The sequence below is a fragment of the Homo sapiens genome, chromosome 19 (genome assembly GCF_000001405.40).
Source record: "Homo sapiens chromosome 19, GRCh38.p14 Primary Assembly".
NCBI lineage: Eukaryota > Metazoa > Chordata > Mammalia > Primates > Hominidae > Homo > Homo sapiens.
In genome coordinates this window covers 42,528,488-42,545,873 of record NC_000019.10, presented here as the reverse complement: position 1 = coordinate 42,545,873, position 17,386 = coordinate 42,528,488, and the positions used below count along the sequence as shown (strand labels likewise).

The window sequence follows — 17,386 nt, the reverse complement described above, 5'->3', positions numbered from 1 at the left end:
AAGGGGAAAGCAATGAAAAGGCAAAGAACATCAACAGATGCTTTTCAAAAGCTTGAACATATGGACCAACATGCATATGAAAAAATGCTCAACATCACTAATTATTAGAGAAATGCAAATCAAAACCACAGTAAGATACCGTTTCACACCAGAGTGGCTATTATTAAAAAGTCAAAAAATAACAGATGCTGCTGAAGTTGCAGAGAAAAAGGAATGTGCTGGGCACGGTGGCTTACACCTGTAATCCCAGCAATTTGGGAAGCCAAGGAGGGAGGACCACTTGAGGCCAGGAGTTCAAGAGCAGCCTGCCCAACAGGATGAAACCTCGACTCTACTAAGAATACAAAAATTAGCCAGGCGTGGTGGTGCACGCCTGTAGTCCCAGCTACTTAGGAGGCTGAGGCACAAGAATCACTTGAACCCAGGAGGTGGAGTTTGCAGAGAGCTGAGGCTGTGCCACTACACTCCAGCCTGGGCAACAAAGCAAGACTGTCTAAAAAAGAAAAAAGAGAGAGAGAAAATGGAACGTTTATACACTGTTGGTGAGAATGTAAATTAGTTTAGCGATTGTGAAAAGCAGTATGGCAATTCCTCAAAGAGCTAAAAACAAAAGTACCATTTGACCCTGCAACCCCATTACTGGGTATACACCCAGAGGAATATAAATCATTCTACCATAAGGACACATGCACACGAATGTTCATTGCAGCACCATTCACAATAGCAAAGACATGGAATCAACATAAATGTCCATCAATGGTAGACTGGATAAAGAAAATGTGGTACGTACACACCATGGAATACTACACAGCTACAAAAAAGAATGAGGTCATTTCCTTTGCAGAAACATGGATGGAGCTGGAGGCCATTATCCTTAGCAAACTAACAGAGGAACAGAAAACCAAATATCACATGTTCTCATTTTTGCATTTTTAGTAGAGACGGGGTTTCACCATACTGGGCAGGCTGGTCTCGAACTCCTGACCTCGTGATCCACCCCCCGCCCCCCCCCCAGCCTCCCAAAGTGCTGGGATTACAGGCGTAAGCCACCATGCCCAGCCGCATGTTCTCACTTTTAAGTGGGACCTAAATGATTGGAACCCATGGACACAAAGAGAAGAACAAACACTGGGGCCTACTTGAGGGTGGAGGGTGGGAGGAGGGAGAGGATCAGACAAAACACCTGTTGGGTACTAGGCTTAATACCTGGGTAACAAAATCATCTGTACACCAAACCCCTGTGACATGCAGTTTATGTATATAATAAACCTGTACATGTACCCCTGAACCTAAAATAAAACCTCTAAAACAGAAAAAGAAACACAATTGGAGCAAATCCACATGTGTTGAGAAAGGAAGTGTCCACCATACATGCTTCACTATAAAACAACATTACCAATTAATAATATAATTCATTAATGTTTGGCTGTATAAACAATGAGTGGGACAAATGAGAAAGTATTATTGAAAGATTCATACCAACTGCAAACAGTGGTTACATCCTGGAAATGGAATTGGAGTGGGGTGGGGTCAGGGATCTGACACATCATTTTACAAGCGCTTATATTGCTGGAATTTACAATAAGTGTGCTTTCTTATGTGACCGTTTTTTTTTTGTTTGTTTTTTGTTTTTTTTTGAGATGGAGTCTCCCTCTGTTGCCCAGGCTGGAGTGCAGTGGTGTGATCTCAGCTCACTGCAAGCTCCACCTCCGGAGTTCACGCCATTCTCCTGCCTCAGCCTCCTGAGTAGCTGGGACTACAGGCGCCTGCCACCATACCTGGCTAATTTTTTGTAATTTTAATAGAGATGGGGTTTCACCATGTTAACCAGGATGGTCTCAATCTCCTGACCTCATGATCCACCCGCCTCGGCCTCCCAAAGTGCTGGGATTACAGGCGTGAGCCACTATGCCCAGCCACCTATATGATTTTCAAAATAACAGATGAAACCATTTCAAAAGACTCAAGAGGTGTGTGACATCCTCGGGCCCCAGAGCCCAGGCCTCCTCCAGCCCCAACACTGTTGAGTCCCCTCTGAGATGGCCCTTTGAGGTCTCCTCATCCCACCACTCAGGTACAGAGACACCGAGACTCCCAGGAGGGGATCCTTGCTGCAGATCCCACAGCAGACAGGGATAAAGTGAGGTTCTGTCCAGCCTGACACACATACTGAGTGAGCACACACACTATAGGCTTGTCCTGGATAGTGGGACAGTCCCTGCTATACAAGCACCATTCAGTGGACACTGGGAGTGAACAGATGAGACCAAACCGCCCTGCAGGTCCTAAGACAAGGGCAGCACAGAGCCCTAGGGGACATGGGTCCCATCCAGCCCTGAGCCTCCCCCTCATCTCATGGCCTCTCCCTCTCCCTGCTCCTGACCCAGGAAGAGCCACATAATGTGGGGGATTCAGTGCAACCTGAAAATGCAGTATCCTTCTTCAAGACAGGATTAAGAGGGTTTCAACACAGCCACAGAAGGGCACTATATTAAGTGCAGGACCCTTCTAAGCACAGGCCCCCATGTGATAACACAGGTCACATGCCAAGAAGCTGGCCCCGTCCTACCCTCCTGCCTCAGGTCTAGATGCCCACATTTGGGAGTGACCTCAGGGACTAAGAAGACAAAAGTTAACACAGCTCAAGAAGAGACACGGCTCTACTGCTTCCTATGCCCCTTACTCTGTTCAACTCTTCTGCAGACCCTCAGGGCAGACAGCCCCTTAGATGATGTGACAGGGATGGGCCTGGCCTCCTCCCTGGCCAGGAGAACACTGCAGGCAAAGGCCTGTGGAGTGCTGAGGTGACCCAGCCCTGCACTGACTGTCCTGCAGGGGGAGGCTGTTGTCCATCTCTGCCCAGGGCTCTGCAGGTGGAGCACTAATTTGAACCCTGGTCAATGCCTGGTTCTGGACGCAACAGGTGAGTCTAAGCCCTGAGACCATCAAGATGCGGTTATTGTGCCTCTGTCCTGATGAAACCATCTGTGGCTCCCACCATCTGTGGGACACAACCCCCACCCCCCTGCAGGTGTCCCTTGATACTGCCTCATGCCATCCTACCTTGGGTGATAACTATTCCCTGAGTCCCCAGTATTCCCACTGGGCATATCCCAGAGGTCTGCATTCACAGACTTGATGCATGCCCATGACAATGGTCAGATTTTAAAAGGAATTATAAGAAACGTGCACTGAGGCCGGGCGCAGTGGCTCACGCCTATAATCCCAGAACTTTGGGAGGTGGAGACAGGTGGATCACCTGAGTTCGAGACCACCCTGGCTAACATGGTGAAACCCCATCTCTACTAAAAATACAAAAATTAGCTGGGTGTGGTGGCACCCACCTGTAATCCCAGCTACTCAGGAGGCTGAGGCAGGAAAATCGCTGGAACCCAGGAGGCGGAGGTTGCAGGAGCCGAGATAGAACCACTGCACTCCAGCCTGGGCGACAGAGCGAGACTCCGTCTCGAAAAAGAAACATGCACTGAAGTAAGAAAGTGGCAGGGCATCAGACTTTGAACATCTGAGTTTAGTGTAAGCTTGTTTTAAAACACCAGAGAGGCTGGGCGCGGTGGCTCACGCCTGTAATCCCAGCACTTTGGGTGGCCGAGGCGGGCGGATCACGAGGTCAGGAGATCGAGACCATGCTGGCTAACACGGTGAAACCCCGTCTCTACTAAAAATACAAAAAATTAGCCGGGTGAGGTGGCGGGCGCCTGTAGTCCCAGCTACTACTCGGGAGGCTGAGGCAGGAGAATGGCGTGAACCCCGGGGGGCGGAGCCTGCAGTGAGCCGAGATCGCGCCACTACACTGCAACCTGGGCGACAGCGAGACTCCGTCTCAAAAAAAAAAAAAACACACACACACACACCAGAGAAGAGCTAGAATCAAAGAACACTGCGAAAGAAAATATATGGAACATGACAGTGTTGAAATTTTGTCTAGACACATTAAAAACAAACGATGATTTTTTTTAAACAAACCAGTTTGGCATGACCTTTTCGTCTACAATTTCCTCACTGTCCACCAGAGGGCCCCAGCCTAGGGCCTTTCCAGGGGGCTGCTGACCTCCCCTCTGCGGGGCCCACAGGTCCCAGCGGAACTGTCTCTTTGAAAGTACATTTATTTCATGCATCTGCAGTTGTCTGGTCAGTCTCATGTCTAAATCATTGGATCTCTGCACAGAATGTCATGAGGGGTCCGCACATGAGTTTGAGGACTATTTGCCCAGGGTGGGTATTTTATATGGTGGGGTTTTTTTCACCAAATACTTATTTAAAACTGTAATAAAATATACATATCAAAAAATGTATCTTTTAACCATTTTAAACTGTACAATTAAATGGAATTTACTACAGAGCCCTGATGGAGGGCTCCTGTAGCCCCAGCTACTCAGGAGGCTGAGGAGGGAGGATTGCTTGAGGCCAGGAGTTGGAGTCTAGTCTGGGCAACATGGTGAGACCCTGTCTCTAAATACACAAGTGGAATTAACTATATTCACAATGTTAAACCACCATCATCACTAATTTTTCCAGAAAATTTTCATCACCCCAAACAGCCAGACAGTAGAATAGACGCCTACACCATTTGTCCCCTCACCCCCACACCACTGGAACACTACATTTTAATCTGCACAGAGAAAAGCACTGTCACAAGAACCAAAACCAGGGGAGCAATCACAGTACCTGGTTTTAACTTCATATCGCTGAAAGAGGCATTGGGCCAGGTGCAGTGGCTCATGCCTGTAATCCCAGCACTGTGGGAGGCCAAGGCAGGTGGATCACTTGAGGTCAGGAGCATGAGACCAGCCTGGGCTACATAGACCCCATCTCTACTAAAAATACAAAAATTAGGCCGGGCGCAGTGGCTCACACCTGTAATCCCAGCACTTTGGAAGGCTGAGGCGGGTGGATCACAAGGTCAGGAATTTGAGACCACCCTGGGCAACATGGTGAAACCCCATCTCTATTAAAAATACAAAAATTAGCCGGGCATGGTGGCACGTGGCTGTAGTCCCAGCTACTCGGGAGGCTGAGGCAGAAGAATCGCTTGAACCCAGGAGGCGGAGGTTGTAGTGAGCCGAGATTGCACCACTGCACTCCAGCCTGGGCAACAGAGTGAGACTCCGCCTCAAAAAAAAAAAAAAAAAAAAAATACAAAAATTAGCCAGGTGTGGTGGCGCACTTTCATAATCCCAGCTACTCGAGAGGCTGAGGCATCAGAATCACTTGAACCCAGGAGGCAGAGGCTGCAGTAAGCTGAGATTGCACCACTACACTCCAGCCTGGGCGACAGAGCAAGGCTCTGTCTTACAAAAAGAAAGAAAAAAGGCACTGAAGAGGGCCGGAGAGAGGCCACACCACCCCTCACCCATCCCCCACCAACCCGCAGCAGCCCTGCAACATGGAGAGAGAATCTGCACTTTGGGAAGGGTGAGTGCGGCCACTGGAGGACCTTACATTGAATTCAGTGCTGCCCCATCACAGCAAAGAATAAAGGCATGCTGGGCTCAGCCAGTGCCCACACAGAGAGGCAGTACTTGGACCAGCCCTAGCCAGACAGGTATCACCCATCCCAGCAGTCGGAACTTCAGTTTTTCAGCAAGCCTCCCCACGGTGGGCTGATGTGCTCTGGAGTCCTAGGTAAACTTAAAAGGCAACTCCTAGTTAGGCTGGGCTTAAAGCCAGTGGACTAGAGTGGCGTGTAACCAAGGGAGACACCAGCTGGCATGGCTAAGGGAATGCTTTCACCACCCCTCCCCCAACCTCAGGCAACGCAGCTAGAGGCAACGAAAGTGACTCCCTCCTTCTGCTTAAGGAGAGAAGAGAGAAGAGTAAAGAGGATTTTGTCTTGCATCTTGGATACCAGCTCAGCCACAGCAGGACAGGGAACTGGGCAGAGTCATGAGGCCCTTATTCTAGGCCCTAGCTCCCAGATGACATCTCTAGACACACCGTGAGCCAAAAGGGAGCCCACTGCCTTGAAGGAAAGGACCCAATCCTGGCAGAACTCATCACCTGCTGACTAAAGAGCCCCTGGGCCCTGAATAACCAGTAGTGATACCCAGGTAATATGCAGTGGGCCTTGGGCTCTGAGACATGCTGGCTTCAGGGGTGACCCAGTGCATTCCCAGCTGTGGTAGCCATGGGGAGAGACTCCTTCTACTTGAGAAAAATAGAGGAAAAAGTAAAGGGGACTTTGTCTTGTGCCTCAGGTACCAGCTCAGCCACAGTGGGATAGAGTAACCAGCAGTCTCTTGGGGTCCCCGAGTCCAGGCCTATGTTCCTGGAGAACATTTCTGGACCTTCCCTGGGCCAGAGGGGAGCCCACTGCCCTGAAGAGTGAGTCCCAGGCCTGGCAGCATTCACCACAAGCTGATGGAAGAACCCCTGGGCTTTAAGTGAACATCAGCAGAGGACGGGTGGAATCCCCTGTGGAACAGTGGTGGTGCTGGAGAAAGGGGAAGGAAGAGCAGGAAGGACTTTGCATTGTTTGAGTGCCAGATTAGCCACAGTTTGTTTATTCATTTGTTTGTTGCAATGGAGTCTCATTCTTGTCGCCTAGGCTGGAGTGCAATGGCATGATCTCTGATCACTGCAACCTCTGCCTCCCAGGTTCAAGCGATTCTCCTGCCTCAGCTTCCTGAGTAGCTGGGATTACAGGCACCCACAACCATGCCTGGCTAATCAGCCACAGTTTTTGACTCCAATCCCTGCCTCCCAGACAGCATTTCTAGACACATCTGAGGCTTGGGAGACCTCACCACCCTCAAGGGAAGGGCCTTGGGCAAGACCCAGTGCGGTGCTTAGGTCTGACCCAGCACAATCCCAGTGGTGGTGGCCACAGAGTGCTTGCATCACCACACTCCCAGTTCCAGGTGGCTCTGCACAAACGGAGAGATTCCATTTGTTTGAAACAAATTAAGGGAAAAGAACAAGAGTCTCTACCTGGTAATCCAGATAATTCTTCCAGATCTTATCCAAGATCGCCAAGGCAGTACCTATGTAAGTCTGCAAAAACCACAGCATTCTTGGGCTTGGGACCCAAGTGCCTTCAAATACCTGGAAAGCCTTCCCAAGAAAGACAGGCATAAACAAGCCCAGACTATGACATGAAGACTACAATAAATACCTAACTTTTCAGTGACCAGACACCAACAAACACCTATAAGCATCAACACCATCCATGAAAACACGACCTCACTAAACAAGCTAAATAAGACACCAGGAACCAATCCTGGAGAAAGAGAAATATGTGACCTTTCAGACAGAGAATTCAAAATAATTGTTTTGAGGAAACTCAAATTCAAGACGACACAGAGAAGGAATTCAGAATCCTATCAGATAAATTTAACAAAGAGGCTGGGCACAGTGGCTCGTGTCTGTAATCCTAACACTTTGGGAGACAGAGGCCAGAGGATCACTTCAACTCAGGAGTTTGAGACCAGCCTGGGCAACAGAATGAGACCTTGTCTCTATAAAATAAATAAAATTAAAATGTTAACAAAGAGATTAAAATAATTAAAAAGATTCAAGCAGAAATTCTAGAGTTGAAAAATGCAATTGACATGTTGAAGAATGCAACAGAGTCTCTTAATAGCAGAATTGATCAAGCAGAAGAATTTGTGAGCTTGAAGACAGGCTATTTGAAAACACAGAGGAGACAAAAAAAAAAAAAAAAGAAGCATATCTATAAGATCTAGAAAATAGGCTCAAAATGGCAAATCTAAGAGTTATTGGCCTTAGGCCAGGCACGGTGGCTCACGCCTGTAATCCCAGCACTTTGGGAGGCCTAGGCGGGTGGATCACGAGGTCAGGAGATGGAGACCATCCTGGCTAATACGGTGAAACCCCGTCTCTATTAAAAAATACAAAAAAATTAGCCAGGCGTGGTGGCAGGTGCCTGTAGTCCCAGCTACTCAGGAGGCTGAGGCAGGAGAATGGCGTGAACCTGGGAGGCGGAGCTTGCAGTGAGCTGAGACTGTGCCACTGCACTCCAGCCTGGTGACAGAGCAAGACTCCATCTCCAGGAAAAAAAAAAAAAAAGTTATTGGCCTTAAAGAGGAGGTAGAGAAAAAGATAGGCACATAAGGTTTATTCAAAGGAATAATATAAGAGAACTTCCCAACCCTAGAGAAAGATATCAACATTCAAATACAAGAAGGTTATAGAACACCAAGCAGATTTAACACAAAGAAGACTACCTCAAGGCGTTTAACAATCAAACTCCCTAAGATCAAAGATCAAAGGATCCTAAAAGCAGCAAGAGAAAAGAAACAACATACAATGGAGCTCCAATACATCTGGCAGCAGACTTTTCAGTGGAAACCTTACAGGCCAGGAGAGAGTGTATGGCATATTTAAAGTGCTGAAGGAAAACAACTTTTACCCTAGAATAGTATATCAGGCAAAAATATCCTTCAAACACGAAGGAGAAATAAAGACCTTCCCAAGCAAAAGCTGAGGGATTTCATCAACACCAGACCTGTCCTATGAGAAATGCTAAATTTAATCCTTTAACCTGAAAGGAAAGGATGTTAATGATGAAGAAGAAATCACGTAAAGGTACAAAACTCACTGGTAATAGTTAAGCACACAGAATAGTATAACACTGTAATTGTGGTGTATAAACTTCTCTTATGTAGAAAGACTAAATGATGAACCAATCAAAAATCACGACTACATTAACTTTTCAGGACACAGACAGTACAATACGACATAAACAGAAACAACAAAACATTAAAAAGTGGGGTGACGAAGTTGAAGTGTAGAGCTTTTATTAGTTTTCTTTTTGCATGTTTGTTTGTTTATGTAATCAGTGTTAAGTTGTCATCAGTTTAAAATAATGGTTTTAAGATAGTATTTGCAAGCCTCATAGTAACCACAAATCAAAAACCATACAACAGACGCACAAAAAATAAAAAGCTAGAAATTAAAGTATACCACCAGAGGAAATCACCTTCACTAAAAGGAAGACAGGAAGGAAGGAAAGAAGAAAGAGAAGACTGCAATAAATAAAAACAGAAAAACAAATAACAAAATGACAGGAGTAAGTCCCTACTTATCAGTAATAACATTGAATGTAAATGGACTAAATTCTCCAAAAAAAGATACAGTATGGCTGAACGGCTGAAAAATAAGACCCAATTATCTGTTGCCTGCAAGAAACACATTTCAACCATAAAGATACACATAGACTGAAATTAAAGGGATGGAAAAAGATATTCCATGCCAACGGAAACCAATAAGAGAGTAGGAGTAGCTATACTTATATCAGACAAAATAGACTGAAAGACAAAAACTGTTAGAAGGGACAAAGGAGGTCATTATACAATGATAAAAGGGTCAATTCAGCAAGAGGATATAACAATTGTAAACATATATGCACCCAAAACTGGAGCACCCAAATATATAAATCAAATATTAGAGAAATAGACCCCAATACCATAATAGCTGGAGACTTCAACGCCTCACTTTCAGCATTAGACAGATCTCCCAGACAGAAAATCAACAAAGAAACATCAGACTTAATCTGAACTATAGAACAAATGGAACTATAGAACATTTCATTCAATGGCTGCAAAATACACATTCTTCTCCTCAGTACATGGATCATTCTCAAAAATAGGCTATATATTAGGTCACAAAACAAGTCTTAAAACATTCAAAAAAATTGAAGTAATATCAAGTATCTTCCCTGACTACAATGGAATAAAACTAGAAATCAAAAACAAGAGGTATTTTGGAAACTATACAAACACATGGAAATTAAACGATATACTCCTAAACGGCCAGTGGGTCAACAAAGAAATTAAGAAGGAAATTGGAAAATTTCTCAAAACAAATGATAATGAAAACACAACATACCAAAACCTGTGGGATACAATGAAAGCAGTACCAAGATGGAAATTTATAGCCCTAAGTGCCTACATCAAAAAAGAAAGAGAAGAACTTCAAATAAATAACCTAAAACCTAACGATGCATCTTAAAGAACGAGAAATGCTAATAATGAGAATATATAAGGAGCTCAAACAACTCTATGGAAAAAAATCTAATAATCCAATTAAAAGAAGGGCAAAATATCTGAACAGACTTTCTCAAAAGAAAACATACGAATAACACACAGGCATATGAAAAGGTGCTGAACATCATTGATCATCAGAGAAATGCAAATCAAAACTACAATGAGATATTATCTTGCCCCAGTTAAAATAGCTTTTATTCAAAAGACAGGCAATTAAAAATGCTAGCAAGGATATGGAGTAAAGGGAACCCTTGTACACTGTTGGTGGGAATGTAAATTAGTACAACCACAATGAAGAACTGTTTGGAGATTCTTCATAAAACTAAAAATAGAACTACCATACAATCCAGCAATCCTACTGCTGGGTATATACCCAAAAGAAAGAAAATCAGTATATCAAAGAGATATCTGTACTCCCATGTTTGTTGCAGAGCTGTTCACAACAGCCAAGATTTGGACGTAACCTAAGTGTCCATCAACAGATGAATGAATGAAGAAAAGGTGGCACTTATACACAATAGAGTATTATTCAGCCATTAAAAAATGAGATTCTATCATTTGCAACGATATGGATGGAGCTAAGGGTCATCATATTAAGTGAAACCAGGAACAGGAAGAAAAACATCACATGTTCTCACTTATTTGTGGGATCTAAAAATCAAAACAATTGAACTCATGGAGATAAAGAAGAGAAGGATGGTTCCCAGAAACTAGGAAGGGTAGTGGCGGGACAGGGGAGAGGTGGGTATATAGTTAATGGATATAAAAAAATAGAAAGAATGAATAAGACCTACTATTCAATAGCACAAGGGGATTATAGTCAACAATAATTTAATTATACATTTTAAAGTAACTAAAAGAATGCAATTGGATTGTTTGTAACACAAAGGATAAATGCTTGAGGGGATGGATACCCAATTTTCCATGATATTATTATTATACAGTGCATGCCTGTACTAAAATGTCTCATGTACCTCATATATATATATATACACCTACTATGTAACCACAAAAATTAAAGATTAAAAAAAAATAATTCCCCATTGCTCCCTACCCCCAGATCTTGATAATCTCTAATCTACTTTCTGTCTCTGAATTTACTTATTCTTGATTTTTCATATAAATGGCATCATACACATATGTCACTTTGTTTCTGGCTTATTTCACTTAGCATAATGTTTCCAAGGTCCATCTATGTTGCAGCATATGTCAGAGCTTCACTCCATTTTAAGGCTGATTGACATTCTGTTGTATGTATCACCATATTTGTTTATCCATTCATGTGTTGATGGACACTTGGGTTGTTTCTACACTTTACCTATTGTGAATAATGCTGCAGTGAACATTCCCATGCAAATATCTGTTTGAGTCCCTGTTTTCAATTCTTTGGACATATACCTAACAATGAAATTGCTATTTCATATGATAATTCTGTGATCAGCTTTTTAAGGAAAAGCCAAACCGTTTCCCACAGTGACTGTGCCATTTTATATTCCCACCAGCAATGTATGAGGATTCCAACTTCTCCACATATTGCCAACATTTCTTATTTAACATTTTAAATGAATTGTAGCAATTGTTATAGGTGTGATGTGGTGTCTTACTGTGGTTTTGATTTGCATTTCACTAGTGACTATTGATGCTAAGTGTCTTTTCATGTGCTTATTGACTATTTGTATATCATTTAGACAAATATCCATCTGAGTCCTTTGCCCATTTTTGTTGTTGTTGTTGAGATCGAGTCTCACTCTGTTGCCCAGGCTGGAGTGCAGTGGCACAATCTTGGCTCACTGCAAGCTCCGCCTCCTGGGTTCACCCCATTCTCTTGCCTCAGCCTCCCAAATAGCTGGGACTACAGGCGCCTGCCACCACGCCCGGCTAATTTTTTGTATTTTTAGTAGAGACAGGGTTTCACCGTGTAAGCCAGGATGGTCTTGAACTCCTGACCTCGTGATCTGCCCGCCTCAGCCTCCCAAAGTGCTGGGATTACAGGCGTGAGCCACCGCATCCAGCCCCTTTGCCCATTTTTAATCAGGTTTTTGGGTTTTTGTTATTATTGAGTTGTAGCAGTTCTTTATATTTTCTGGACATAAAACCTTATTCATATAATGGTCTGCAAATTTTTTCTCCCATTCGGTGGGTGATCTTTTCACTTTCTTGATAATGTCCTTTGATGCACAAAAGGCTTTCATCTTGATAAAGTCCAGTTTATTTTTCCTTTTGTTGTTCATGTTTTTGTGTCATATCTAAAAAGTCCATTGCCACATCTGAGGTGATAAAGACTTATCCTTATGTTTTCTTCTGAGAGTTTCTTATGATTTTAGCTCTTATACTTAACTCATTGATCTGTTTTAATTTTTGAATATGGTGAGAAATAGAGTTCCAAAATTTCATTTCTTTGCAGGTGGTTATCCAGTTGTCCCAGCATCATTATTTGAAAAGATTATTCTTCCTCCATTCAATTAACTTGGCACCTGTACTAGTCGGGGTCCTCAGAGAGACAGAGAAAACGGGATAAAGATATAGTTGTAGATATAGAAATAGATCTAAATATATGAGGGGATTTGTTAGAGGAATTGGCTTGTGTGAATACGGAGGCTGAGAAGTCCCATGATTAGCCAGTTACATGCTGGAAAACCAGGGAAGCTGGCAGCATGGCTCAGTTCTGACCAAAGAAGCCATGGTGTACCCTCAGTCCATGGCCAAAGGCCAAACAACCTGGAGTTCTAATGTCCAAAGACAAAAGGAAAAGGGTGTCCCAGCTCCAGGAGAGAGAAAGAGAGAATTCACCATCCCTCTGCCTTTGTGCTCTATCCAGGCCCTCAGCCAAGTGGATGGTGCCCACCCACAGTGAGTGAGGGCAGGTCTTCCTTACTGAGTTCACTGACTCCAATGCCAGTCTCTTCGGGAAACACCCTGACAGTCATACCCAGATACAAGGCTTTACCAGCTATGAGGGTGTCTCTTAATCCAGGCAAATTGACACCTAAAAAACCACAGCACCCTTGTCAAAGATCAACTGACTGTAAATGTGAGGGTTTACTTCCAGACTGTCAAATCTAATCCACTGGTGTAAGTGTATCTTTATGCCAGTTCCACACTCTTCAGATTACAGTAACTTTGTAGTAAATTTTCTTTTTTAAAAAATGTGCATAATCATAGGGTACAAGTCCAATTTTGCTATTCTGATATATTGCATTGTGGTAAAGTCAAGGCCTTCAGTGCATTCGTCACTGGAGCAAGGCACACTGTACCCACCATATAGTAAGTTTTCGGATAAGGAAATGTGAGTCCTGGCCAGGCGCGGTGGCTCACGCCTGTAATCCCAGAACTTTGGGAGGCTGAGGCAGGCAGATCACCTGAGGTCGGGAGTTCGAGATCAGCCTGACTAACATGAAGAAACCCCGTCTCTACTAAAAATACAAAAAATTAGCCGGGCATGTTGGTGCATGTCTGTAATTCCAGCTACTCGGGAGCTGAGGCAGGAGAACCGCTTGAACCCGGGAGGCGGAGGTTGCGGTGAGCTGAGATCGTGCCATTGCACTCCAGCCTGGGCAACAAGAGTGAAACTCCATCTCAAAAAAAAAAAGAAGAAAGAAAGAAATGTGAGTCCTCCAGTTTTCTTTTTCAAGACTGTTTCAGCTATTCTATCTGTCTTTATTTTTTGTTAATGTATTTCAATAGTTCTTAATGGGGACCATTCCCTGACCTGCTTCCAGGGAAATCTGGCAATCTGGAGACCTTTTTAGGAACTTGAACTAAGTAGAAAAAATATTTTTTTTTCTTTTTTTTAAGACAGAGTTTCGCTCTAGTCACCCAGGCTGGAATGCAATGGCGCAGTCTTGGTTCACTGCAACCTCCGCCTCCTGGGTTCAAGCGATTCTCCTGCCTCAGCCTCCAGAGTAGATGGGATTACAGGTGTCCACCACCACGCCCAGCTAATCTTTGTATTTTTAGTAGAGACGGGGTTTCACCATGTTGGCCAGGCTGGTCTTGAACTCCTGACCTCAGGTGATCCACCCACCTCAGCCTCCCAAAGTGCTGGGATTACAGGCATGAGCCACCGCGCCCAGTCAATATCCTCATTTTATTTGCTGAGTTGCTATGTTAAAGTGTGAGTTGCCTGCCATGAATGAATGAAGAGACACTTAAAGCACTTGCCTGCATGACGATGTGCACCACCTTCTCTCTCCCCCTGTCCTGTGCCCTCAGGCCCTCTTCACCCAGGCCCAGGTGGCCCCATCCAGTGGCCTCTACAAATGGATTCCTCCTCAAGCTGGCCCACAGACCTTCCTTCCAGCAAGTGACTCACCTGCAACCTCCTCCACACACCTGAGCCAGCGGTTCTCAGTTCTTCTCTGAGGTCCCCCAGGAAGGGTGATGATCTCATGTAGGTTCACTCGCATTAGGTGACACATTCTCACAAACAAACTGGTCTGTGCAGTAAAGCACACAGCCACAACTCCTGAGGATGTTTTGCCATTGCCAAGTGTTGTCATGAGATGAGAGGTAAGAAAACAACATTTCACATCATGATTTAGCTCTAAATGACTTTTTTAATTGTATTTTTTAATTGACACCTAATAATTGTACATATTTATGGGTCCATAGCGATGTGATACATATAAGGTACAGTGATAAGGTCAGGGTGATTAGCATATCCATCATCTCAAACATTTAGCATTTCTTTGTGTTAGGAACATTCAATATCCCCTTTCTAGCTACTTGGAACTATATATTATTGTTAACTATAGTCAGGCCGGTTGCAGTGGGTCACACCTATAATCTTAGCACTTTGGAAGGCCGAGACGGGAGGATTGCTTGAGCCCAGGAGCTCGAGACCAGCCTGACCAACATAATAAGATCAGTCTCTACAAAAAAATCAAAACACTTGGCTGGGCATGGTGGCTGTAATCCTAGAACTTTGGGAGGCCTAGGCGGAGGATCACTTGAGCTTAGGAGTTCAAGGCCAGCCTGGGCAACATAGTGATACCCTGTCTCTTTATTTAAAAAAAAATTGAAAAATAAAACAAAAAATTAGCCAGGCGTGGTGGCGTGCACCTATAGTTCCAGCTACATGGGAGACTGAGGCAGGAAGATCACCTGATCGCAGGAGGTTGAGGCTGCAGTGTACTCCAGACCCTGTCTCAAAAAAAAAAAAAAATCTGTAGTCATCCTACAGTGGTATAGAACATTAGAACTTATTCCTCCTCCTATCTAGCTGTATTTTTTTTTTTTTTTTTTTTTGAGACGGAGTCTCGCTCTGTCGCCCAGGCCGGACTGCGGACTGCAGTGGCGCAATCTCGGCTCACTGCAAGCTCCGCTTCCCAGGTTCACGCCATTCTCCTGCCTCAGCCTCCCGAGTAGCTGGGACTACAGGCGCCCGCCACCGCGCCCGGCTAATTTTTTGTATTTTTAGTAGAGACGGGGTTTCACCTTGTTAGCCAGGATGGTCTCGATCTCCTGACCTCATGATCCACCCGCCTCGGCCTCCCAAAGTGCTGGGATTACAGGCGTGAGCCACCGCGCCTGGCCTTATTTTTTTTTAAGATGGAGTCTCACTCTGTCGCCACACTGAAGTGCAATGGTGCAATCTTGGCTCATTGCAACCTCTGCCTCCCGGGTTCCAGTGATTCTCCTGCCTCAGCCTCCAAGTAGCTGGGACTACAGGTGCCCACGACCACACCTGGCTAATTTTTTGTATTTTTAGTAGAGACGGGGTTTCACCATGTTGGCCAGGATGGTCTCAATCTCTTGACCTCATGATCCACCCGCCTCGGCCTCCCAAAGTGCTGGGATTACAGGCATGAGCCACTGTGCCCGGCCTATCTAGCTGTAATTTTATATCCTTTAACACATCTTTCCCTGTCCCTCCCTTCCTCTACCCTTCCCAGCCTCTGGTATGCTCTGTTCTACTTTTTCCTTCCATGAGATCAACTGTTTTTAGGTTCCACATATTAGTAAGAACATGTGATGTTTAACTTTCTGTTCCTAGCCCACTTCCATTCATGTTGCCACATGTGACAGGATTTCATTCTCAAGCCCCCAAAGGCACCTCACTGGGCCTTTGTTTTTTTGTTTTGTTTTGTTTTTGCTTTTGTTTTTCAAACCTCTGGGACAGATGGCTCCTTCTAAGGCAGCCCATCCCCCTGGTGGACAGTTCTCTCCAATCTTGACAGAAGTCCTCTGGACAACTCACGTCCTCTCCCTGGGCTCATCCTGCACCGCATGGAGCTGGGCAGCCTGGGGACCCGCAGTGAACAGGACCTGGGGTGACTTGACCTTGAAGCCTGGAGGTCAGAGCCCACATCTGCCCAGGGGTCAGGGCCAGCTCACATCATGTAGACCCTGGTCAGCATCCCTGGGGCAGCCCTTGACAAGGCTGCAGGCCTTGTCTTGCCCTCCAGGGGGAGACATTGCACACAGACAACACTCAGGAAACATTCCCCTGGTCATGAACCTGGCTTTGCTAAGGAGGTGAAGGTAGAGCCCACTTTCCATCCCTTGCTCCAAAACACCCTTCCAGGCCCTCCCATGTACCTGCTCTGTCCCTTCCTGGGTCCTCTGAGGACCCTGTTCTGTGAGGGGTCCCTGTGCAGCTCCCCATTCCCTCCTGGCACCACCTGTGGGGAAGGTGCGGTGACCACAGGACAATCAGCCTCGCAGAGGACAGAGACCACCCAGGATGGTCAGGGAGAACATGGACAGGCCTTGAGCCTCAGCTCAAGGGAGGGAGGGTCCCCCTGAAGTCTTCCCCAAGGACAGTAGAGCCCAGAGCCACCCACCTCCCTCTATCACAGTCCTCTCTTCCCAGGACACACAGGACACCTCCCCCTCCATATCCGGGAGCTGCAGCTCCACCTGAGACCCCTGGACTTGGGTCTCTGTCCCTGGGTTAGAGGCCAGGCTGGTGACACTAGAGACAGAGGGCTGGTCCCTCCCCAGTCATCCCCCAGTGAGCCCCTTTCCATCCCCCAGAGCCACCTCTGTCACCTTCCTGCTGGGTGTCTTCCTACCTTCCCAGCACACTGAAGAGCATGGGGAGACCTGGCAGCTCACTGTGTTGCAAAGAAAATAATTACCACATTTGGATATGCCAGGGTTCTCTGTGTGCTGCTGACAGACCCATAGCCAGGACACAATAGAGGTCAGTGCTGGAGAGGGGGGATCCTCCTCCCCTGATGGGGACAGAGGTCTCATCAGCCTTGATTCTCAAAGTGTGGTCTGGGAAACCAAAATGTAGACAGAAAGGAAAGAGAAAGTAAGGACAAAGGTAGGAATGAGAGGAGAGGAAACAGAGCTTCCTGGACAAACCCCGCCCCAGCACACATGATCAGACAAAGCTCTGGGCCCCAGGGAGG

General features: G+C 45.5%; 1 long non-coding RNA gene across 2 annotated transcripts in view, besides 2 other annotated features; it reads right to left on the bottom strand.

The window, feature by feature from the left end:
• LIPE-AS1 (LIPE antisense RNA 1) overlaps positions 1–17,386 on the bottom strand; it is a 255,208-nt gene that overhangs the window by 106,482 nt on the left and 131,340 nt on the right. The gene's annotated exons all lie outside the window — the stretch shown is intronic.
• Positions 16,231–17,093: an enhancer, noted in NCBI's record as "H3K27ac-H3K4me1 hESC enhancer chr19:43032933-43033795 (GRCh37/hg19 assembly coordinates)". NCBI's record gives its function as "activates a minimal SCP1, AML or CMV promoter by ChIP-STARR-seq in naive H9 embryonic stem cells {active_cell/tissue: H9 hESC(naive)}" and the evidence as "EXISTENCE:reporter gene assay evidence [ECO:0000049][PMID:30033119]".
• Positions 17,316–17,385: an enhancer, noted in NCBI's record as "active region_14721". NCBI's record gives its function as "activates an Ori minimal core promoter by ATAC-STARR-seq in GM12878 lymphoblastoid cells {active_cell/tissue: GM12878}" and the evidence as "EXISTENCE:reporter gene assay evidence [ECO:0000049][PMID:35858748]".